This window comes from Homo sapiens, chromosome 6 (assembly GCF_000001405.40).
Source record: "Homo sapiens chromosome 6, GRCh38.p14 Primary Assembly".
Lineage (NCBI taxonomy): Eukaryota > Metazoa > Chordata > Mammalia > Primates > Hominidae > Homo > Homo sapiens.
In genome coordinates this window covers 159,968,122-159,990,888 of record NC_000006.12, presented here as the reverse complement: position 1 = coordinate 159,990,888, position 22,767 = coordinate 159,968,122, and the positions used below count along the sequence as shown (strand labels likewise).

Sequence of the window (22,767 nt, the reverse complement as noted above, 5' to 3'; positions counted from 1 at the left end):
TGGGAGGCCGAGGTGGGTGGATCACGAGGTCAGGCGTTCAAGACCAGCCTGGCCAACATAATGAAACCCCATCTCTACTAAAAATACAAAAATTAGCTGGGCGTGGTGGCACACGCCTATAATTACAGCTACCTAGGAGGGTGAGGCAGGAGAACTGCTTCAACCTGGGAGACGGAGGTTGCAGTGAGCCGAGATCGTGCCACTGCACTCCAGCTCGGTCAACAGTGCGAGACTCTGTCTCCAAAGAAAAAAAAAAAAGAAATATCTTACCATTAATTTAAGAATATCAACTCAGATCAGTGTATTAGTCTGTTCTCACACTGCTAATAAAGACATACTCAAGACTGGGTAATTTATAAAGGAAAGAGGTTTAATTGACTCATAGTTAAGCATGGCTAGGGAGGCCTCAAGAAACTTACAATCGTGACAGAAGGGGAAGCAAACACATTCTTTTTCAGCAAGGAGAAGTGCGGAGCAAAAGGGGAAAAAGCCCCTTATAAAACCATCAGATCTCGTGAGAACTCACTCATGACCACGAGAACAGCATAAGGGTAACCGCCCCCATGATTCAATTGCCTCCCACCAGGTCCCTCCCACAACACATGGGGATTATGGGAACTACAAGCTGAGATTTGGGTGGAGACACAGCCAAATCATATTAATCAGTAATTGCTCAAGACTCATGCTGAATATAAGATAGTAATAGCCTTTCCAATCACACCAAAATGCTGAAAAGCCAAAGGATTTTTTAACTCTATTTTATTAAAAAACTAGCTATGGCATGAAAGGCAGCTCCACTTCTGCTTTTACCTCTTAGAGCTACAGTTCAGATCTGAACTCGCAAGACAGAGCTGTGCAATGAGTCAGCTATCAGATTCGAAATCACACAAAATTCACTACACCAAGCATTAACACTCATTGTTCAAACCTCTGGCAAAGCAGATAGTGAGTTATTGCTAATGCATCAATCAGTATACTTGGGACAAAATAGGTGGTTTCCCGGTTCTGTGAAAACAATTATTCTCAAATGTCTACTCTTCCCTTCCCTGGGGAGAATGTTTTGTCCATTTTGTAAAATGGGGATCATCTCCTCAGCAGGAGTAAAAACAGAAAAGGAAGAAAGTGACTTAAAATGTCCTTGCAAAATGCAAAAAATAAAGACCTGGCCAGTGGCTCGTGCCTGTATCCCAGCACTTTGGGAGGCGAAGGCCAGAGGATCACTTGAAGCCAGCAGTTTCAGGCCAGCCTGGGCAACATACCAAGATCCCATCTCTACAAAAATAAAATTTTTTTATTTTCAATGCAAAAACTGTTATTTAACTCAACAGTATTGCTAAAAGGAGGGGCAATAAGTTAAATCAGAATTGCTTAGGCTAGGCCCATCCAGGAGTTGTGGAGGCCCTGGGGGTAAGACCACCATATATATCTACATAACTGTGTTATTCACCCTATGCAGTACTCCCTTGACGACAGAAGCACTCCCTCACAGAAGGAGCCGTCCACCTCCCAGAGCTTCCTTCCACAGTGCACCAAGGCAATGACTCAGCACAAAACCAACCACCAGGCCCCCCCACGTGCCCTCCTCCCCAACCCTGAACTAGTTTCAGCAATGGAGGAGAAAGAGCAGCCCTGGTGGGGTCACTGGAAGACGAGGCGCCAAGAACTCCTAGGTCTGGGAACCCATCAAACCCCCCTGCCAAGAAACCAAACCGCACACATAGGCCTTCAAAAGCATGGAGACTTGGAAGGTCTGATAGCCACTAAGCAGCTACAGACCTGAAGAGCAGGCTGGGGTACTCAGGTGCCCAATCTTAGGGTGATACCCTCGGGGTATGACTCCTCAGCTCAGCTTTTTCAGCAGGAACATGTTAAGAGGTGTCTCCTAGAGTCAAGATGACTCAAGGACATGAGAAAATAACCCAAGTATTACTGGGCACAGAGAAAAATCATCAATAAAGGCTTGTTTCCTTTGCCCTTCGTTAACCTTTATTCATGTGTTTCACAAGTATTTCTTAAGTACTTACTGCGGGAGGCACAGGAGAGTACAGCAATGAACAAAACAAAGACGCCCTGCCCTCTCGGAGTGTATATTCCAGGTTGCAGGATACAAGATAAACAAGTAAACAAAGACTTGGCTACTACTCAGGAAAAATGCTAATCTCTTATTCAGGAGCCATGACTAGTTTCTCCAGGATAACAGAGACAAACTTCAAGTAGCGGCAGTGGCATCATTAAACTATTTCACAATCCTAAGTATATGATATTGGTGCATGAGGGTGTCATTTAAAATGAGTTAACTGGTAGGAATCAACGCTAAAGAGATCCACACGTACCTAAAATGCTATGCTTTTCTTTTTTTTTTTTTTTTTTTTTTTTGAGACGGAGTCTCACTCTGTCGCCCAGGCTGGAGTGCAGTGGCGCAATCTCCGCTCATTGCAAGCTCCACCTCCCGGGTTCACGCCATTCTCCTGCCTCAGCCTCCCGTAGCTGGCACTACAGGCACCCACCACCACACCCAGCTAATGTTTTGTATTTTTAGTAGAGATAGGGTTTCACCATGTTAGCCAGGATGGTCTTAATCTCCTGATCTCGTGATCCGCCTGCCTCAGCTTCCCAAAGTGCTGGGATTACAGGCGTGAGCCACCGCGCCCGGCCTGCTATGCTTTTCTTAAAAGAAATCCACCATTCTTGCAAAGGGGATATCTAAATAAGGTAAAGAGTGTGTTTGCTTGGGGAGCAGAATCAAGATTTAAAAAAGAATAAAATGAGGGATATTGTCCTGATAATCTGGAAATCAGGGTTGCTAGAAAGAAAAGTGTTGCTCTATTCAATTATATTATTTTCTCTACTTGGATTTCATACTTGTTTTGTCAAGATTTATCAAATGTAAGTGGTTATGGGAGTAGGAAAGGAGGAGCCTATTAAAATACTTGAAACACTGACTTTTTTCAGGGGGGTGATTTAACCACTCAGCACAAGGCAGCCCTCCTCCAGGCCTGGCAACCTCAATGCCATTCAAACCCATCAGCAGCACTTGAGGCGAAGGCACCAATATCTCAGAGTTCTTAGTCACAGCTTTAAAATGAAGAATGGTCACAGCAGGTTTCTAAACTTCACTCCAAAGACACCTGCAAGCTGTCAGTACTTAAAACATTCTGATGTTTCAACGGACATTATGTCTCCTTTAAAACAAACTAATGGCAGGGCGTGGTGCCTCATGCCTGTAATCCCAGCACTTTGGGAGGCTGAGGCATGCAGATCACGAGGTCAGGAGATCAAGATCAGCCTGACCAGTATGGTGAAACTCCGTCTCTACTAAAAATACAAAAATTAGCCGGGCGTGGTGGTGCACGCCTATAGTCCCAGCTACTAGGGAGGCTGAGGCAGGAGTATCGCTTGAACCTGGGAGGTAGAGGTTGCAGTGAGCTGAGATTGTGCCACTGCACTCCAGCCTGGGCAACACAGCGAGACTCTGTCTCAAAAAGAAAAAACGAATATGCCTAGCCCCTAGTATCAACAGGAGCTCAGAAACAGTCATGTGGTTTAAATAATCTCTCTGAAAATTTATGAAGAATATTCCAAAAACTATTATGTACTCTGGTATGCACCCTGGTTAAACTATCACTAGATATGTTTCCACTAAAGTAAATATTTTTTAAAGACTATTTCATAATAAACTTGAAAATCGTATAAATAACTGACAACAAGTTTTAAGAAATCACATGTTTGAAACTAAAGGATTCTAAATTTCTTTTCAGATTAAAGGCCAAGCCCCTAGAATGGCCTAAGCTAAAATCATTCTTAAAATTAACTTGATATTAAAGTTTAAAAGCACCATGATCACATTATAGAACTAGAAAATGGTTTCAGAAGCAATAAAATTATTACAGACTAAATAAAATGTAATGATATCTTTGAGGAATAATAAATTTTTTGTCTGAAAGTTTGTCTGTTAGAAAATTCTCTACCTGAAGTGAACATGTACAGCCAGAATTAGGAAACTATTCCAAACAGTATGGTTCATTTAACAGCCAAGCAAATGAAACCATTCAGCTGAGATTCCCAGAAAAAGCCTACATTCTAGACTAAGTTATCTGAGCTTACACAAGTAAAGACTTAAGAAAAAAGCCAACAGAAAAAAAAAAAAAGAGATCAATATATTCAATCAAAGAGAAAACTAAGCTGTAACAGTAAGATGTTAAATGTTAGCAACAAACAAGCTTCTGGAAGAAAGTATCTGCAAGCTGTGTGGAAACACCGTCTTCACTCAAACACACACAAAAGAATGTGTTGAATACATTTTCTGAAAGAAAGAACTTCAGGCCATGCGCAGTGGCACATGCCTGTAATCACAGCACTTTGGGAGGCCAAGGTGGGAGGATCACTTGAGGTCAGGAGTTCGAGACCAGCCTGGCCAACATGGTGAAACCCTGAATCTACTTAAAAAAAAAAAAAAAACACACACACACACACACACACACACACAAAAATTAGCCAGGCATGGTCGCGCACGCTTATAGTCCCAACTACTCGGGAGGCTGAGGCACGAGAATAGCTTGAATCCAGGAGGTGGAGGTTGCAGTGAGCCGAGATCGCACCACTGCACTCCAGACTGGGTGACAGAGTGAGACTCCATCTCAAAAAAAAAAAAAAAAAGTTCTGCAGCAGGATAGGTAAGAAAGCCCAGTGAGCATTTTCCTGAAACTCTGTCAAGTCTTCTAAAAGTCACTGACTCTATGCTGTATTCCATCTCAACTGAAGGAAACCAGCGGGACACAGGAGAGGAGCGGGGAGAACTGCAAAGGCCCCCACAGAAGCGGCTTGTCCACTGGAAACAACCCAGGATCCCTGTCCGTTGTCCCAGTTGTACAAAATTCAGTGACCATCCTCAAGGGAGGCAGCCTGATTTTAGTTAAAATCACTCTTCTGGATGCAAAACCATCTTTCCAAGAACGCTGGTTCTTCAAAACCATCACTCTGGGACAGAAAATGTTCTAGAAAATCAGCAAAAATAAGTAAAATCTTTGCTATTCTATGTCATTTTTCAGAGCGTAAAACAGTTAGCCAATGGTCCCTCTCTCATTCTCAAAAAATCCAAATGCACTCCAAAGGCCAGCCTGACAGCTGGAGAGACACACATGTGCTGCAGCAGCTCCTCCAGACAGTGCTCCCCGGCTGAATCCACAGCTCCAGCACTAGCTGCCATGGCACTTCATACAGCTCAGTGGTGGCATTTTCTGAAGTGTCTGTTATCCCCAATGACACCGTCACTCTGGGACAGTAATGTCTTCCCTCCTGGAGCAATGACTGGCAGATGCAGGATCAGCATCTCTACTGATGGCTTGAGAAGGAAACTGGCCAGTGGCTAAGAACGCATGACAGCACGGCTCTCACCCACACAGCTAACATGTGAGCCAAATCTCCCCACAGAACGTGATGCCATTATCCAACCCTCCCAAGTTCCTCAGCTTTGAAGCCAAATATCCCAAGGCTCAGAATGAGGAACTTGCCCAACATCACGGAATTATAAAGTGAAGAATTAACCTAGGCGGTGTGAGGCCCACGGGTGAGTCCTTAACCAATTAGGTAAACGGCTTCATTTATTTTCCATTTAAAGAAATGGTTTTAACTTTTCAGAAAACATTTAGTTTCAGTTACAACACAAAAACTGGCAAAACATTCCACAAAACTTTAGTTTAAATCTTGTCACAATAAATGCCATTAAAAGGACAGACTCTGTATGGCATAAAGATCTCTGAGTTCCTATTATATTGCCAACCATCTACACAACTTGATTCAATAAAATGCTAGTCATATAGAAAAATTACAGTTATCCCTTCGCAGCACCTTGTAATCACAGATACAAGACCCCCAGTAGAGGCCTGGAACCAGGAATACGGTTTCGGATATGGTTTTTCCTTTACATACATACCCATGATTAAGTTTAATTTATAAATTAGTTGTAAAAGATTAACAACTAATAATAAAATAGCACAATTATAACTGTAATAAAAGGTATGTGAATGTGGCATCTCTCTCTCAAAATATCTTCATATTTTCAGACTGCAAGTGACCATGGGTAACTGAAACCTCAGGAAGTGTAACTGCTGATGGGGGGACTGGTTTATAGTCACTCACTTAATGGCGATACGTCATCAGAAATGTGTCATGAGGCAATTCTGTCACTGCTCAAACATCATCGAGTGTATCTGCACACACATAGATGGTGTCGCCTACTACAAACCTAGGCTATATGGTATGTCCTATTGTTCCCAGGCTACAAACCCACACAGCATGACGCTGCACTGAATACCCCAGGCAACTGTAACATGTGACACATATCTAAACGTAGAAAAGGTGCAGCAAAGATATGGTATAAAGGATTAAAATGGCACACTTGCCTAGGGCACTTATAATGAATGGAGCCTGCAGGACTGGAAGCGGCTCTGGGTGAGTCAGTGAGTGAGTGGACCTAAAGGCCTAGGACCTGACTGGACGCTTTCATAAGACTGGTAGCGCAGTGGGTTCGTTTACAGCAGTATTACCACAAACATGTGACTAATGCATTGTGCTACGACATTACAATGGCTACAGCATCACTAGGTGATAAGAATTGTTCAGCTTCATCCTAATCTTCTAGGACCAAGGTCATTTATGCAGACTGTAGTTTATGCAGTCCGTCATTGGCCAAAACGCTTCTCTTCTCGTTTTTAATGTCATGGATACTACTTATATCGTAAAGGCAGAATTCTCAGAATGGTTGAACCCATCTGAGGACAGCCTCTATGAAAAAGCTGTGAACTGTCTGAAGATTCAGACCACATCACATCATGCTGATCAACAGATCATATGCTTTTCCTTGCTCAACTTCTTCCCCAAGCTTAAACTTCTGCTACTCTATACTCCCAGTCCAGTTCTGCTTTCTCTTCTGCACAGTGTGAATTGCCAAACACCAGAGCATTGCCTTCCACAACCTCTCTTCCCATACCCAACTGGTTTCCATGGAAATAATATCAAGTCCCTCAGCCGGCTCCTTCCCACTGGCTGCACTGTCCTTGCTATTTCTATGTAAGCAGCTTGTGAACTCTACAAACAAGGTCCACATCTATATTGTCTTCCTCAACTCAGATGCACACTCTCCTTTAATGAGACTACTCAGCTCAGCAGAGTCCAACAGTGACACAACTCAGAAACATTCTACAATCAAACCATCAGGCCCAGCAGGAAACGGGGAGCAGCAGAAGTCAAATACAAGGCAAATGACTTTAGAAGATCTCTGCTTTTAAAGCAAAGTCTGTGGCAGAAACATACCCTATTTTTTTAATTTAACAAGGGCAATTAATTTAACCATATAAACCAAGCACACAGTCGGAATCTTTCCCATAAAGAAAGCTCAGATACTGTTTTGCTCCTGACTGTAATCTCACTGCTTCTGCTGAAACTATCCTGGAGAACTGCAGTCAGTCCACGCCTGTTCAGAAGTACAGAGGTTCCATTTTAACCTCATTTGCTTGAAATTTCATAATATCCTGAAAGGTGTTGGCAGATTACCAATTAGAAGGAAGCACACAAGTAACAGACTGTCAGCTGGTTAACCCAGAGACAGGAAGGTGTTTCTACTTTCCTGCTACTGTTCCAGCAAGGGCCGCAATCGAAACCCACCCTGGTCCAGACGAAACCAATCGAGGGGCTGCAATGAAGAAGTCAATGTAGCCCCAGGCCGACACAGCTGCCTAGAGTTCAAAAAGCTTAAAACAGAGATGCAGAGCCATCTCCACTGAGTGAGTTCTAAATGTCTGTCCAAAAATGAAAAATAAAAAATTCAAAATACAATGTCATAGGGATACAGATATAGAATATCTTTAAACTGACATTGGTATCTTAATATGACACCTCTCAGAGTTTTCATATATGCCATCACTCAATGCTTGCAAAACCACAATAGCTTGCAAGATGTAATTTGGAGTTCTTTCCTTTTAAAAACAGCTAGCATCTAAAGTATGTAAAATTCTATGATCAAAATATATGGTATGCTCAATCTCTTAAAGAAAATAAATCTTAGAAAACTGGGTTCCTTCCCTTCAACACAAAACATCTCCATGAAGTATCACTCTGTCCCTTCCTCATTTATTGCCATATATCCAAACTCTTTTAAAATATATCTTAGTTTCCTCAGTCCCTGTGAATCTTGGGGTTATGCTAATGGTCATGTAACTATTAAACATTTTACTACTGGCCTGCAATTAATAAAGCAAGATAAAGGCAGGATGGGATCAGTAATAATAAAAGTAGGCACGTGTGAATCTGTAATTTGGTTTCCTTAAAAGACAGAAACCCAGTTGGTGACACATAAGTGAAATTCACATAACAAGATACATGGTCACTAGCTAGAGAAATGTTTCTCTGAGTCTACAGCAAGCAACAAATCTAACATGTTGGAGACAAAGAGAATGTGAAGTGTTTCCAACCTGAACATCCAAAAAAGATTCTCCTACTTTCGACATGCACGCAAGTCCTCTAACAGAGTATTCAAGAAATCACCTGGCTCACTACTGTCCCTCAACAGTATCAGACAGTGTTTCAGCTCATACATATCCAGCACAGTCACCTTCAGAAATCCAGACCAGTCTCCTTAACTAAGGAGAAAGGGAAAAAACAGCAAGGAAGAGGAGCAAGGAGGCAGGGTTCCCACACTGGACCTTGGGAGCAGAATGTCAAGAGCCTAAGGTAACCACTGTCGTCAACAACTTGCTGTTGCCTACACTAAAAGAGAAACAATCTGATTTGCATGAAGACTCCTACCCCGAGCTGAAGGCTGGGGAAGCACGTGAGTTTGACACAGCATGGCCAGAGCTTATATAGGAAGTACTTCACTTCCTATTCTAACAAACCCACAAAGCTGTGGACAAAGATACAGGGCCGACAAATACAAATAAATAGAAGCAGGGAAATGCCAAACGTCAGCCTTTGGTTTTCCCTGAGAGGTATGCAGGGTCTGGAAGGAAGCCCGGTGTATGGAGAGGGATCCGGCTGGAAGCCCTAAGTCAAACACGACATCTAAGTTGATGTCAGAGCCCAGGGAACCAGGGCAGGCAATGGGGACTGCGTAACAGAGGTCACCTGGAATAGAGAGGGGGCACGCTACCCTAAGAAAGGTGCCATGAAGGGCCTGGGCCAGATTCCTGCCCCAGCGCTGACTAACAAGCTGTGTGAGCCAGTCTCTCCCAGCTCAACTTCCTCGACAAAACTCAGCTAGCCTACAAGGTCATTGTGAGGAGAAAACCACCACCAGGAACACAGAGCTATCGAAACAGACTATGATCTAAAGCTTTCATTTGAATCCAGAGAGAGAGTTGGACTGCTTAAAAACTAAGTTTACAAAAAAAGGTGAGTTGGCTGGGGGCGGGGGGTGCCCTCTGAAAGGAGTGTCACATGACACTGGCAAGGAACTGGAGGGAGAGACGGGCAGGCCCCTGTCCGGAGGCATCTCCTAGGAGCTGATGAAGACAGAGACACACGCACTCAGACAAACACACTCACACACACACACTCAGACACACACACTTGCACTCACAGACACTCAGACACACACACTTGCACTCACACACTCGTGCACTCACACACGCACTCACGCACACATACACACTCAACTGCCTCCTGGGACCTCTCAGGACAAGGATGCCACTCTGGCCTGCCCGCCCTGCACCATCCACAACAGAGACAGGTGAGTCCAGAGCTTCCAGCAGAAGAGCAGCAGGGGAAACAGAACAAGGGCAAACACACCAGGGTGTGGCGTTCCCAGGAGGTGGGCAAGTGCCCTCCACAACAGAAAGCTACCACAAAAATGGCTGGTCCTCTCTGCTATCCTTGGCTCAGATCAACTCAACAGTACAGGATGCAGGCCAGTATTTCAACCCTAAACCCTGCTCCGTGATGATTTTCTTCCAATCAGAGCAATTACCTGGGCGGTCTCATACTTTGCTCCTCATGTATAAAGAAGAGTTGTAGATGGGCTAAACTCCCTGCTTTGCCATGTGGATGTCTGAGGCCAACCGCCTTTAAGGACAATCCAGCCCCCAGCGCAGAATTCAGACCTTAATGTTCAGCCCCCTACTCTCCCTGTCACCAAGGTCCCAGAAAACCCTCCCAGACCCAGGGCCCTTCCTGGAGTGTGCAAACTACAAGGGAAGGTGGGCCTTTCTAGAAAACCTGCGGGCTGTCAGCTCAGCTGGCTGGCCCATGATGCTAATGAGGCCACCGCCAGGTGGTGGTTCCTCACAAAGGCCAATCAGGTGGACAGAGGAGAAAAGCCCCTGCTTTGAAGATGCTGGAGCCAAACATCAGACAGCAGAGGCTCCGCAAAGCCTAACACCCAGCTGGGGCTGCCCCTCTCCACCTTCTTACAGACTCAGAATGGACAGCCTAGGGAGGTCCCAGTGAGGTCCGTGACCTTGTCTCTGATCACAAATTCACAAAGTGGCCAAGCCCATGTTAGAAAGAAGCCTGTCCTGCTCCAGAGCTCATGCTATCTCCATCGCAGCCTAAAGGCAACCTGAAGAGGAAAAGCAGCTACCATGCTCAACTGCAACCCTCACCTAGGGATCTCATAGTTCCCTAAGGCAATCCAAGCAATCGAATCTTCCATGTACCTTTCTTTCTTTCTTTCTTTCTTTCTTTCTTTCTTTCTTTCTTTCTTTCTTTCTTTTTTGAGACGGAGTCTCACTGTGTTGCCCAGGCTGGAGTGCAGCGGTGCGATCTCAGCTCACTGCAAGCTCCGCCTCCCGGGTTCACACCATTCTCCTGCCACAGCCTCCCGAGTAGCTGGGACTACAGGCGCCCGCCACCGCGCCCATCTAAGATTTTTTGTATTTTTAGTAGAGACAGGGTTTCACCGTGGTCTCGATCTCCTGACCTCGTGATCCACCCGCCTCGGCCTCCCAAAGTGCTGGGATTACAGGCATGAGCCACAGCACCGGCCCATGTGCCTTTCAATCCACCAATCTACTGAAGTCCTCAAGGGCTCTGGCTTTTACCCAGAGGGAGCCCAAAGTCCCACAGCCTCTGTGATCTGGCCACAGCTAATCCTCCGTGCTCTCTGGCCCCTCCCTCCATTCTCCCAATGGCTCAGCCCACCCAGACACACTGGGCCCTTAGCTGCCTCTCAACCAAGTCAGACATGCTTCCCGCTGGGTCTGACATGCAGGCCCCCCACCAGGGTGCCTGGTTCACTCGCTCACTTCCAGCCTTTTACAGAAAGGCCTGGTGACAGCGGACTCTCCAATAAAACAGCCCCATCCTCAGGGCCCAACCCCCGACTCTGCCACCAGCTCTCCTCTCCCTCCGCATGTCCAGCAAAGTCAAGGCCATGAGCTCACGCTGCCTGTCACTCTAAAGGGGTGACTGTAAAAAGAGACAAAAGAGAAGAGAGAAGTGCTGGTATAACTGACGCTTCGAGAGCAGAGAGCAGGTGGAGGCAGGGTGCCTCAGGGGAACAATGAGGGTGACTCACTGGAGTCTCAGGCTTGCCACTTCTAGGAAACTCACTACTTTAGCACTTCTATTCTGGTGGCTTGGCACTCTATTTGCAGGCCAGGGTGGGGCGCAGGGAGTGTTGGGGGAGTTTTTTCAGTACTAAACAGCTGTTTTAAAATGTATAACTGATTCTGGAGTACAGATAACCATGCAGATAGCAACAAGTTAATTTTGCACACACTCAAAATCCAATGGTGGGTCCGCTCTGAAGGAGCTCTCTCCTCCCAGCACACAGCAGGCATGAAGAAGGTGGCAGCCCTAACAGCAAGACCCTCCTGGCCTTCCCTCTAGGCCATAGCCCACAGGCAACTCAACTGCAAAGGCCAGTTTTTGCTGTCACACACTCCTGAAAACAGAGCTCGGGCCAGTACTTCCACCATCCCCCTCACTTCCTACACCTCTCCCAGTGAAGGACGACACTCCTAGGATCTGCTTCCTCTTCCTGGACAACTTGCCCTCCAGATGTACTGAATAATGGTTGCCCCCAGGGGATCGAAAAGCACACAAAAGGAAAAAGAAAACTCCTACCAAAGGTCTGCAGCTGGCTGAACGGCCAGGTTCACAGAGCACCTGGGATTTTCCCCACCCTGGAGGAGTCACAGGAAAGTGCCCCTCTGCCCTGGCTAACACGGAGACAAAAATAGGCTTATGACGCATTGCTTTGGGCACCTCGAAAACCTAAACGACCGTACTTTTTTTTTTTAAGTTGCACAGCAAGGTGGAATTTATGAAGCACTTTCACATCCAAGCCACTGGCCTGGACACTTCTGTTCCCACCTACAACAGCACCCATTCCTCCACCCTCCAGGGAGGCCTGGAGAGGCCTAAGTGAGGACAGGACCCCCTTGACCATGTGCAGAAGTTAGCTGAGACTTCCTGATCCTACCACAGGGAAACAGGGAGGACGGCTCTTCTTGCCCTGGAACCACGACAGCCCCCTTTCTCCCAGCCTAGCCTGGGACCAAGCCACCACATGCAGGAGGGTGACCCCCGGCCCCCATCCAAACTCCACACCTCGAATTATCAAGCTCCTCATTGTTTGGGGGAATCTGAGTGAGGAAGGACTCCTCAAGGCTGCAAACCTCAGAACTGCAGAATTTGGGATGCAAAATGGACCCGGAAATCACGGAGTCCAGTGGCTTTGAAACTTTTTTAAACAGTGGAAACCTTTCTTTCTCATGAGGAAGCTTACGTGGAGTGCCAATCATGAAACAGATGAAGAAGAAATGCTCTCTGGTTGAGGCAGAAACCCCAAGACACTAATGGAGAGCTCTGGGAGGGCGAGAAACAGGTTATAAAAATAAATCCCTGATGTAAGGCAGCATCTGTAACTTACAGATAAAGCAACTGCTACCACTACAGCACCAATGAACACCGAGGACGTGCCAGGCATTCAAATGTCTTCCAATTCCCACACCTAGCCTACAACACGGTTAGCATCCCACGCCTAGCCTACAACACGGTTAGCATCCCACGCCTAGCCTACAACACGGTTAGCATCCCACGCCTAGCCTACAACACGGTTAGCATCCCACGCCTAGCCTACAAACATGGTTAGCATCCTGACTGGACACACACGGAAAGGAAGACTTCAGAGGTTCTGTGACTTGCCCAAGGCCTGTGAGGGGAGGAGTCTGGATTCAAGCCCAGGAAAGTGACTTCCAAAACTAACTCCCTAATGAGAGGTTTTCAAATAGGAAAGAGAGAAAGAAAACTAAGTCCCACCCCTCTTGAGGAGGAAAATGAGGTCCAGAGAAAAGAAGTGATTGGACACAGCCAACTCAACAATCCAGATCCCCCGTCTCAGGCCACACGCTGCCAGCAGCAATCAACAGGGGTTTAGCAGCTGTGTCTTGGCAGAACAGCGCTTGGGGGTGACATTGGGAGGGTGGAAAGGACCTAAAGCGCCAAGAACAGCCACAGAGGCACATCCTGCCCATCCCCTAGTCTCCCTGAAAACAATTTACAGCCAAATTCCAACAACTGCTCCCAGCCCTACCCCACGCAGCTGCACAAGGAGGCAGCCAAGGTCGGGTGGAGACCCACTGCAGAGTGCACGGTCAGGAGTCACCTGTCACTGCAAGGGCACCAGCACCATGCAATCATGGTGACAAACTCAAACCAAAGAAACTGGGCCCAAGGAAAAATAATTAATAGAGCAATCAGAGCAGAACTTTAAGAGAGATCTTCAGAGGGTTGACAGAAGCTACAGCGTCCACGCAGAAAGAACAGGCAGCTGTGACTACACATCAGCTGAGATTCTGCAACAAAAGACAACAGGGAAGCAGAAGAACATCTGAACCATGGGAGAACTGGTAAGCTGGGCGACAGCAGCAAACGACATCCAGCTACATGCCTGTCCACAGCGGCAGCCAGATACAAATAATAAAAGCAACAGACAAACCGAAGAAGAGTTAGGGCAAAGAAAAGCTGAACAGCACCATGAGTAACTTTGACCCAAACAGAGAACTTTTTTTCCAAACACATAATACCCTCCCAACTTGACTAGGTGTTAGGCCACAAGGGAAATGTCAGTAAGTTCCACCACATTTACCCGCACAATGGAAAAAATAAATTTAAAACCCCCAAAGTCCATGGACCTGAAAAAAATAAAAATCTAAAAATTTAGTGGGTCCAGGAAGTTGAAACAGATAGAACTTTTGAATCCAAAAAGGGAATACACAAAATTGAAATATGGAGAAAAAAAAAAGTATCAGAATCTATGAGTGGTATGGTACTCCGAAGAAAGAAACATGAAGCTTTAAATATATTTCTTAATTATGCAAAATGATTTAAAATAAAAGAGCTAAGCATTCAAGTCAAACGAGAAACAGAAAAATGATGTAGAAGTTACTGAGTGGATAAATTAATAAAATTGCAAATAAAAGGTGAAAAGATGAAAAAACAAAACACTAGTTCTTTTGGAAAGACTTTAAAAAGGTAAATAAGTCTTTAGTAAATATAATTAAGAAAAAAGTACACAAGTAAACATCAGGAATTTTAAAAATTTACCTAGAGCTATAGAGTATCAAAAATATGAGAGTAGCATGCTACTTATTAAATATGAATACACAATTAAAATGACAATTTTCTAGGAAAATAGAGATTACCAAAATTGGCCCAAGAAAAAGTAGAAAATCTGAATAGAAAAATAAACTAGATAAAACTGAAAATAAAACTAGAAAAAACCATAATCAAAAGTCCTCCCCGATGATATTCCACCTAAGAGCCTGCCAGGGCCAGATAGTTTTACTGGTGAATTCTACCAAACTTTAAGAAACAGAAAATGTCCATCTTATATACAAACTGTTTCACCACATACAAAAATACTAAAAGCTAACTAGCTCCTTCCACAAAGCAAACATATTATTAATAACAAAATCCATCAAGAACAGCAGAGCAAAAAAACTGTAGCCCAATCTCACTTAAAAACAGAGCTGTAAGCATATTTCATAAAGTATTAGTAAACAGAACTAGATATATTCATGGAAATAAATAAACTTTTACCCTTTTTGTGGTGTTATTTATATATGTGCGTGTGTATATATTATATATAACTATATATTATATATTATATATAATACATATATAATATACACTATAATATATATATAATAAATATGCTTATATAATATATACACAATACATATACTTTATATATATATATATATAAATATATATAATACATGTATGGGTTTTTTTTTCCCATCTGGTTTCTGGCTGCCAACTTCCACAGTCCTAGTATTGGTCTTTTGTTATAATGTTGGGTGTGTCAGGCCTCAGGAAACAATCTCTCCACCTGCCCCTCCTTCCACCTGCCCCAAGGTAGGACTCTCATCTTCCCTGCTTTTGGACTGTGGGTCTTAAGATCCTCCCCAGTGAGGGTCCCACCCTATACCCGGGAGAAGAAATGCTGACCTCCTGAAGCTTCCATAAAAACTGGGTTGGGGGAGCTTCCAAATAGTTGAATGCACGGCAATTCCTGGAGGGTAGTGAGCCAGGGAGGTCACAGAGGCTCCGCACCCCTTCCCCAATACCTCGCCCTAAACATCTCTTCATCCGTATCCCTTGTAATATCCTCATAAACTGCTAATCATCAGTGTTTTCCTGAGTTCTGTAAGTCACTCTAGCAAATTAATCAGACCCAAAGAGGCACTCTGGGAACCCCAAATTGAAGCCAGTTGGTCAGAAGTTCCAGAGGCCCGGACTTGTGACTGGTGTGGGGTGGGGAGCGGTCTCGGGAACTGAGCCCCAAACCTGTGGCATCTGACACTATCTCCAGGTAGACAGGGTCAGGAATTGAATTGGCCAGGGGTCACTGCTTGGTGCCTGGGGAAAAACGACCACACATTTGATTACGGAGGTCTTCTGTGTTGATGACTGTTCATGGAATGAGAGCAAAGGAAAAATATGGTTTGAGTTTTCTTCAAACATCATATATAAAAATTAAACCACAAAAATTGATCCTAGAGTTAAGGAATCAAAGTTAAAACCAAAAAACTTCTAGAGGCAGAGACAGGAGAAAATCTTTGAGACCTTGGGGTAGGCCAGTGGTTCTCAATTGGATGTGATTTTGCCCCCTCCCCTCCAGGGCCTTTGATATGCCTGGAGACATTTTTATTTGTTACCACTGGGGGAGGGGGAGTGGTAGAGTATAGTCTTAGCATCTAGTGAGTAGAGGCCAGGAATGCTGGCTGACATCCTACAATGCCCAGGATAGCCCTCCAAACAAAAAATTACCCAGGTCAAATGTCACTAGTTTTAAGGTTGATTTCTCAAGCTACCAAAAGCACAAACCATAAAAAGTTATAGTCCATCAAATTTTTTTAAATCTGTTCTTCAAAGGATATCACTGAGAAAATTTAAAGGCAAGGCAAAGACTGAAAGAAAACACTCATACCTCACACATATCTAAGAAAGAACTTGTACCCAGAAGACATGAGGAGCTCCTAAAGCTCAATAAGGAGAAGAACCCAAAAACAATTTTTAAGGGGTAAAAGGGACAAAATATGATTTTTAAAGGACACTACAAAAAATACCCAGTCAGTAAGCACATGATAATGGTGAACATCATCCAGGATTCCAATAAATACAAGAAAAGATGTTCCTTTCTTGCTCAACATCATGAGTCAGCAGAGAGATGAAAGCTGAAACCACACTGAGATACCATTACAACTCCACTTGAATGGCTAAACCTAACACTGACAGGTGTTGACAAGGATATAGAACTGGAACTCTCATACATCACTGGTGGAAATGCAAAATTGTAATTCGGCATTACAGTCTGGTGGGTCCCATGAAGTCAAACAGCTGCTACGCCCACCTCCTCATACACCATTCATGACCAGTTACAACATTAGCAAGAGCTCTCTGTGGCTAGGACAATCCAAAGAAGAAAAGGAGGAAGAAAAAGAACAGCACCTGCAAAGTGATAAGCTACTCTCTGCCACTAGGCTCAGTTCTAGAGCCTGCTCAGTTCTTTCCCCAATACAATAGTTTATATACCAAGATCAAAATAGGGAAGGGAACATCTCAATTATTTCTCTCAGCCCCATCTTTTAAAAATCCCTCTCTCTATGAAATGCTGACAAAAGACGTGAGGCCCAACGCAGGCATTCATTTCCTGGGAATCTGTCAGGATGCTGTTCTGAGAATTAATCCATGAGATCTAATGTAACCATAATTAACAACCTTAGGCTTCCACATACACTTACTGTTGAAATGCACACACACAAATGGATGTGATCCAGGTTTAACATGTGGCCCAAATTAGGCATATAAGCACTGTTCCTTTGGAAAAATTACAGGGAAAAAAAAATCTCCTTAGAGACAGTAACTAAACCAACCTCAACTCCCAGCTGGCTTCATTATTCTCTTGTCCTCAATATAATAAAAACTTTCTAGCATTTATACCTAAACAATTTGGGGAAAACTTGTCCTGTACAAATTTTGAAGCTCTTAACTACCTTAAATCTAACCATCCCAAAGCATTATTTTATCATTAATGCACACTGCTAAGACCTCACCCATTAAGCATCTTGTTAACACCTAACTAAAGGGTGGAAACTTGCATATTACATATATAATATGACATTTTACAAAGTTTAAAGCATATGGTAATAAGTAAAGCCACTGACAAGCTGAGATCACTTTAGACACTGTTGTTGGTTTTGCATGGCCTGGCCTCTGCTCCTCTCCTCCTGAATGCCCTCTCTTCTTGCTCTACTATTCCCGCCCTCCACTGACCTTCAACACTCCTTCCTGCCCCAGGTCTTTTCTACAGGCCAGTCCCACAGCCTATCACACTAGCCTCAGAAACAAGTTTTCTACTAACTTTGTACTAGCAATATCACCTCCCAAGAAATACCTGCATAAGAATCATTAACTTCTAACTCAGCACTGGGACCACCTGGCAAGTAATCCACTTGACACTTGAAAAATGCTTTGCTGAGTCTCTCCAAAAAAAACCATGCACTTATTTAAAGCGCTGCTTCAAGCCAGATACACTTTGGGAAATGAGCCTTTGTCGTGCCTGCTGTTCAATGCACAACTCAGAGGGCAGGCCCCTCCACGTGCACGGACACAGTTAAAGCTGCTGCTGAAATGGTGCTGTCTCCTTCGTTCCTCCCAATAACTAACTGCACCAGGAACCGCACCCCATCCCAGGAGTGCTCAGAGCCAAAGGTCACCTTGAAGCTTTGCCCCCACAAGGTGCCTCGCAGGCACCCCTGAAGCAGGCCCTCATGTCCCTCTTGTGGGTCTAAGCGACTGCAGATGAAAAATATTCTCTCTAGGTTCTAGAGAGCTGGGCTTGGGAGGAGAGGTAGTTTTCCTGGAAATCCAACTCCATCTTTTAGAGACAATGAGAATTTACGGCTAGGATTCTGTTAAAGCCATATGGTGTCTGGGTGCTCCAAAACCTTTGCAAGGATAATGACTTTCTGGGGGCCATACAATGAACAAGAATACTATCAATGGAAAAACACATTCCACGTATGAAATTACCAATTTACAAACATTTGGAATGTGATCCTTCTGTACATTTGGGACTGCCTCCATGTGACCAAGCAGCAAAAACAAACGGGGACATTTGTAGGACTCGACTTTTCATGCTCACAGTGGAGACCTGGCCGAGTTATTTACATTTCAGCAAACTGATGCCCAGGAACAAAATTAAAATGGAGCTTAACACGTCACACCTTGGTGACACGATAAAATTTTTTGTATCAAATTAAAAAAAAAATCAACTTACATTCCTATTCCTCAACTACATGCTACATTTACGGAAATTTTAGCCAGTTTTATCTCATAAAAGTACAGATGACTGATAACCTCCCCCGCCCCAAGAAAAGTTTTCAAAAAGTATTTAAGGAGAGGTATCAGTTTAAAACAGGAACATAAACCCAGCATGGTGCCTCATGCCTGTAATCCCAACACTTTGGGAGGCTGACGCAGGAAGATTACTTGAGGATAGGAGCTTGAGGCCAGCCTGGGCAACATAGCAAGACGTCATCTCTATTAAAAATTTTAAAAAATATATAATAAGCCAAGTGGGGTGGCACACACCTGTAATCCCAGCTACACAGAAGGGTGAGGTGGAAGGACTGCCTGAGCCCAGGAGTTCACGACTGTAGTGAGCTATGACTGCACCACTGCACTTCTGCCTGGGCAACGCGGTGAGACCCTGCCTCAAAAAATTATAAAACAGGAACAGACAGGAAGTTCACTTGGCACATGTTGGGTTTAAAGTAGAGATTGCAAGTGGTTCTGGAGAAGTCTGCATGTGCAACTACAGGGAAGTAACAGGGAAAGAGGTGGGTGAAAATCCGTCTCTGAAATGATTGGCAGATTTGTCATCCTAAGAAAATCTGGCAGAAAAATTAAACACAACTTTTAAGATATTCTAAGACTACAAAGGGCAGATCTTATTATATTCACAATGCATATCAACCTCAGAAACCTCTTCAGCATTTGCTAAGTATGCCCACGTGTGACAGTGGCCAGAAAAACGTAAAGATACAAAGGCCATTCCTACTAGACCAAGAGGCCGTGTTCCACCTGGAGATGAAGTTCGTGAACACAGGTTCAAGACACTGCCATGACTAACCTAATGCAAAAGTAAGGGTCCCATCAATCAGCCAAAGTATCAGTCTGCCCTTGAAGCCACCTTAATCTTAACTGTGAAGAAAACAAACTTCAATTTGTTAACAAGACCAAGACTTCAACCACACTAGGCCAGCTGGGTTAATTTCTTATTGTATTTATTTATTTATTTTTGAGACAGGGCCTTGCTCTGTCGCCCAGACTAGAGTGCAACTCGACTCGATCACAACTCACTGCAACCTCGACCTGCGGGGCTAACGTTATCCTACCACCTCAGCCTCCCTTAACTGGGAGGACAGGAGTGTGCCACCGCGCCCGGCTCTAATTTTCATATTTTTTGTAGAGACGGGGTTTCGCCATGTTGCTGAAGCTGGCCTCCAACTCCTGGACTCAAGTGACCCGCCCACCTCGGCCTTCCAAAGTGCTGGATTCCGGGCATGAGCCACCGCGCCCAGGCGAGTTAATTTCTTATTTTTGGTCACAGAAGCCATTATTCCAAAATGCCTTCCTCTAAATGTTGTTCTCAGCCTGACCTCGTTTAAGCTGCCACCATTTCTCTGTATCATACTAGTTACTGGAGTAACTATGTATCTTAGGGTAGCTAACTGGTCTTTAAACTAGTGTCACAAACTCTCCCTCCATCCACCCTTCCCCTTCCAAAAAAGGGAGCATAAAAAATATGGGCCTTTCCAAAGAGTTTCTATCGTGAGATCAGCCTCACCCTCCTTAGACTAATTTCTGCATGTTCTGAACACAGGGGTGCTAATAAAACTATCTCTGATGCATGGGAAAAATAAGAACCCCCCCCATAAACCCTACCACAAACTCCAAGTTCAGCCCAAAGTAGGCTCAACTTTGTTTCACTCTGAAAAGTAACTTGTAAAAGTAACTTGTAAAAGTAACAGTAACAGGGAGAAACTGTTGTCTGTTCAAAACTTTTCATCCTGCTTCCTTTTTACCAAAGTTTAAAAAAATAAACAAAAGCTGAATTTTCCATCATCCTAAACAGTCCAGAAAAGGATGGTCAGAAAATTCCTGAAATTCGAAGTTCCCCAGGCCCTGGACTGCTAGCAGTTGCGCGAGGTGAACAGCCCTCGATGGGACTGATGGGTTATACAATCATGGTTCCCAGAGCAAGATCCACTAGAATAATCCGCCCCGGAGACAATGACATCATGTGAGCAACCAGGCAGGAAGTTGGGCTCAGAGAAGTGAAGGGTCAAGTCTTGAAAGCTCACACTGGACGACACCCCCTGCCCCCAATCTAAAGAAGACAAAAGTCACCGCCTGCTAAAAATATATATATATATATATTCTTTAAAGAGAAAATGAGCCCACGGGGGGAAATCAATCAGCAAATGAAACCACAAACACTCAACTCCAGGACCATTCCTGCGGGCTCCAACGCCCCGGTGAGCCTCTCCACACCGAGGGGCCTCACCGGTGCCCCGCTGGCGAAACTCTGATGCAAACGCGCAGCGGGAACAAAGCAAACTGGAGTTCCTGCCTCCAACTTTCCCGGACGCCCGGCCGCGCGAGGGCAGGCGCCGACCCCAAGGGCCGGGGCGACCGCTCCGCACAAAGCCACCCCCGACTCAGCGACAGCCACAAGTGGCCGGACGCGGGGCTCCAGGACCGCCACGACCGCGTGTGCCCCCGCGCCCCCCGCCTGCGCACGGGACCCGGCGGGACTCGCGGACACCACGCAGGCAACTTTCCCTCGGGAACGGGGCGGACCCCGGCGCGGAACGGAGGCGACTTGGAGACCCCAGGAGCTCCTCGAGCGCTCCCCGCCCCCCACGCCGGCCGCTCACCCCGGGCACCGCGAGCGGAGCCTGCGTCCGGGCGGGCCACCCACCTGCACAGCTCGGGGAACGGGGCGGCCTGGGCCTGCGTGGACCCCGGGGCAGCGACGAGCAGCAGCAGCTGCAGCAGGAGCAGAGAGCGCTGCGGGCGGCGGGCGGGCGCGGGCCCCAGGTGGGGGCTCCGGCCGGCGGCGGCCCCCATCGCGCCGGGCCCGGACTGCGCGGCGGGCGCGAGGCTAACGGCGCGCGACTGCTGGGGGCCGCGCCCGGGACGGGGTCGCGCCGCCAGGGCAAAGGCGGAGGTGGAGACGGAGCGGGAGCCCGAGGTGAGCGCGGCTCGACTGGGCTCGGCGACAGCGACAGCGGCAGCGGCGGCCCCGGAACCGCGTCACGTGACAGCCGCCCGGCACCGCCCCCCCACCCCCGCCCCCCGCTCACGTGACTCCCTTGTTCAGGTGACCCCCGCCCGCCCCGGCTCCTCCCAGGCCCGGGTCACGTGAGCGCAGCGCGCGGGACAGGAAGCGGCGCGGGCGGGGCGCAGGCTCCAGGTGCCTCCCGGGGCCTGAGCCTCTCGGCGGGCTGGGCGCGGCGGGGGTGCCTAGCCGGGCCTCAGTTTCCCCTCCCACCGCGCCCTGCTGGATCGTGGCGGGTGCTTCCCAGGTTAGAGCAACTGTTCCCAACCTCGATCGACCAGTAGGGGAAAATAGGGAACTTGGATCAAAGTGCCAGGGAGGTAAATGCCTTCGCACAGCCTAGTGGCAGCGGATCCGTGGGGGGTGGGAACACACTTTAACTGCCCGTGGAGTCAAATCATGGGGGTTTACAACCTTGGCCCGTCAGAGCCTCTCAGACCTTCTGTGGGAATGTTATTTCCCAAGCGTGGGCTTCCTACAGCAAGGAAGGCAGCACAAATCCAGCAAGGTGAAAGAGTGGACAAAAGTGTCGCTGTCAAGCAAGTGCCACTCAACAAAGCTTTATTAATTCACTACGTGGATGGCCATGAGCTAGCCACAATGAAAGTAGAACGATGAATCTAAAAGTCTTGAACTAAAAAAATTCACTTTCTTTTAGAGTAAATATACAAAATAATCATGACTGAAAATAGTAATCATCATCATCATAAAAGCTCATCTTTTTTAGTGCTTATTCCATACCAGACACTGCTAAGCATGTAAGCATGAATCTTTAAAAACCTATGAGATGGGAACCTACTTATAGATGAGGAATTGAGGCACAAGGATACTCAGTGACTTACTCAAAGACACTCTGGGATGTGGCAAAGCTGGAATTCAAACACATATAAATAATCATGACCCAATAATAGCTA

General features: G+C 45.8%; 1 protein-coding gene across 1 annotated transcript in view, besides 13 other annotated features; it reads right to left on the bottom strand.

Moving 5' to 3' along the window:
* IGF2R (insulin like growth factor 2 receptor) overlaps positions 1-21,807 on the bottom strand; it is a 142,423-nt gene extending 120,616 nt beyond the window's left edge. Inside the window, exon 1 of the mRNA NM_000876.4 lies at positions 21,494-21,807. Within this exon, the coding sequence (NP_000867.3) occupies positions 21,494-21,642 (149 nt within the window). The 5' untranslated portion in view covers positions 21,643-21,807. The remainder of the gene's footprint in view (positions 1-21,493) is intronic.
* Positions 2,819-3,393: an enhancer, noted in NCBI's record as "OCT4-NANOG-H3K4me1 hESC enhancer chr6:160408528-160409102 (GRCh37/hg19 assembly coordinates)". NCBI's record gives its function as "activates a minimal SCP1, AML or CMV promoter by ChIP-STARR-seq in naive H9 embryonic stem cells {active_cell/tissue: H9 hESC(naive)}" and the evidence as "EXISTENCE:reporter gene assay evidence [ECO:0000049][PMID:30033119]".
* Positions 6,098-6,392: a silencer, noted in NCBI's record as "tiled region #12427; K562 Repressive DNase matched - State 5:Enh". NCBI's record gives its function as "represses a minimal TATA promoter and a strong SV40 promoter by Sharpr-MPRA in K562 cells {active_cell/tissue: K562}" and the evidence as "EXISTENCE:reporter gene assay evidence [ECO:0000049][PMID:27701403]".
* Positions 7,398-7,692: a silencer, noted in NCBI's record as "tiled region #15614; K562 Repressive non-DNase unmatched - State 14:Gen5'". NCBI's record gives its function as "represses a minimal TATA promoter and a strong SV40 promoter by Sharpr-MPRA in K562 cells {active_cell/tissue: K562}" and the evidence as "EXISTENCE:reporter gene assay evidence [ECO:0000049][PMID:27701403]".
* Positions 7,398-7,810: a biological region, named in NCBI's record as "Sharpr-MPRA regulatory region 15614".
* Positions 7,571-7,810: an enhancer, noted in NCBI's record as "active region_25400". NCBI's record gives its function as "activates an Ori minimal core promoter by ATAC-STARR-seq in GM12878 lymphoblastoid cells {active_cell/tissue: GM12878}" and the evidence as "EXISTENCE:reporter gene assay evidence [ECO:0000049][PMID:35858748]".
* Positions 8,558-8,727: an enhancer, noted in NCBI's record as "active region_25399". NCBI's record gives its function as "activates an Ori minimal core promoter by ATAC-STARR-seq in GM12878 lymphoblastoid cells {active_cell/tissue: GM12878}" and the evidence as "EXISTENCE:reporter gene assay evidence [ECO:0000049][PMID:35858748]".
* Positions 8,918-9,027: an enhancer, noted in NCBI's record as "active region_25398". NCBI's record gives its function as "activates an Ori minimal core promoter by ATAC-STARR-seq in GM12878 lymphoblastoid cells {active_cell/tissue: GM12878}" and the evidence as "EXISTENCE:reporter gene assay evidence [ECO:0000049][PMID:35858748]".
* Positions 9,038-9,087: an enhancer, noted in NCBI's record as "active region_25397". NCBI's record gives its function as "activates an Ori minimal core promoter by ATAC-STARR-seq in GM12878 lymphoblastoid cells {active_cell/tissue: GM12878}" and the evidence as "EXISTENCE:reporter gene assay evidence [ECO:0000049][PMID:35858748]".
* Positions 9,920-10,910: an enhancer, noted in NCBI's record as "H3K4me1 hESC enhancer chr6:160401011-160402001 (GRCh37/hg19 assembly coordinates)". NCBI's record gives its function as "activates a minimal SCP1, AML or CMV promoter by ChIP-STARR-seq in naive H9 embryonic stem cells {active_cell/tissue: H9 hESC(naive)}" and the evidence as "EXISTENCE:reporter gene assay evidence [ECO:0000049][PMID:30033119]".
* Positions 11,901-12,891: an enhancer, noted in NCBI's record as "H3K27ac-H3K4me1 hESC enhancer chr6:160399030-160400020 (GRCh37/hg19 assembly coordinates)". NCBI's record gives its function as "activates a minimal SCP1, AML or CMV promoter by ChIP-STARR-seq in primed H9 embryonic stem cells {active_cell/tissue: H9 hESC(primed)}" and the evidence as "EXISTENCE:reporter gene assay evidence [ECO:0000049][PMID:30033119]".
* Positions 21,187-21,316: a silencer, noted in NCBI's record as "silent region_17758". NCBI's record gives its function as "represses an Ori minimal core promoter by ATAC-STARR-seq in GM12878 lymphoblastoid cells {active_cell/tissue: GM12878}" and the evidence as "EXISTENCE:reporter gene assay evidence [ECO:0000049][PMID:35858748]".
* Positions 21,337-21,616: a silencer, noted in NCBI's record as "silent region_17757". NCBI's record gives its function as "represses an Ori minimal core promoter by ATAC-STARR-seq in GM12878 lymphoblastoid cells {active_cell/tissue: GM12878}" and the evidence as "EXISTENCE:reporter gene assay evidence [ECO:0000049][PMID:35858748]".
* Positions 21,627-22,246: a silencer, noted in NCBI's record as "silent region_17756". NCBI's record gives its function as "represses an Ori minimal core promoter by ATAC-STARR-seq in GM12878 lymphoblastoid cells {active_cell/tissue: GM12878}" and the evidence as "EXISTENCE:reporter gene assay evidence [ECO:0000049][PMID:35858748]".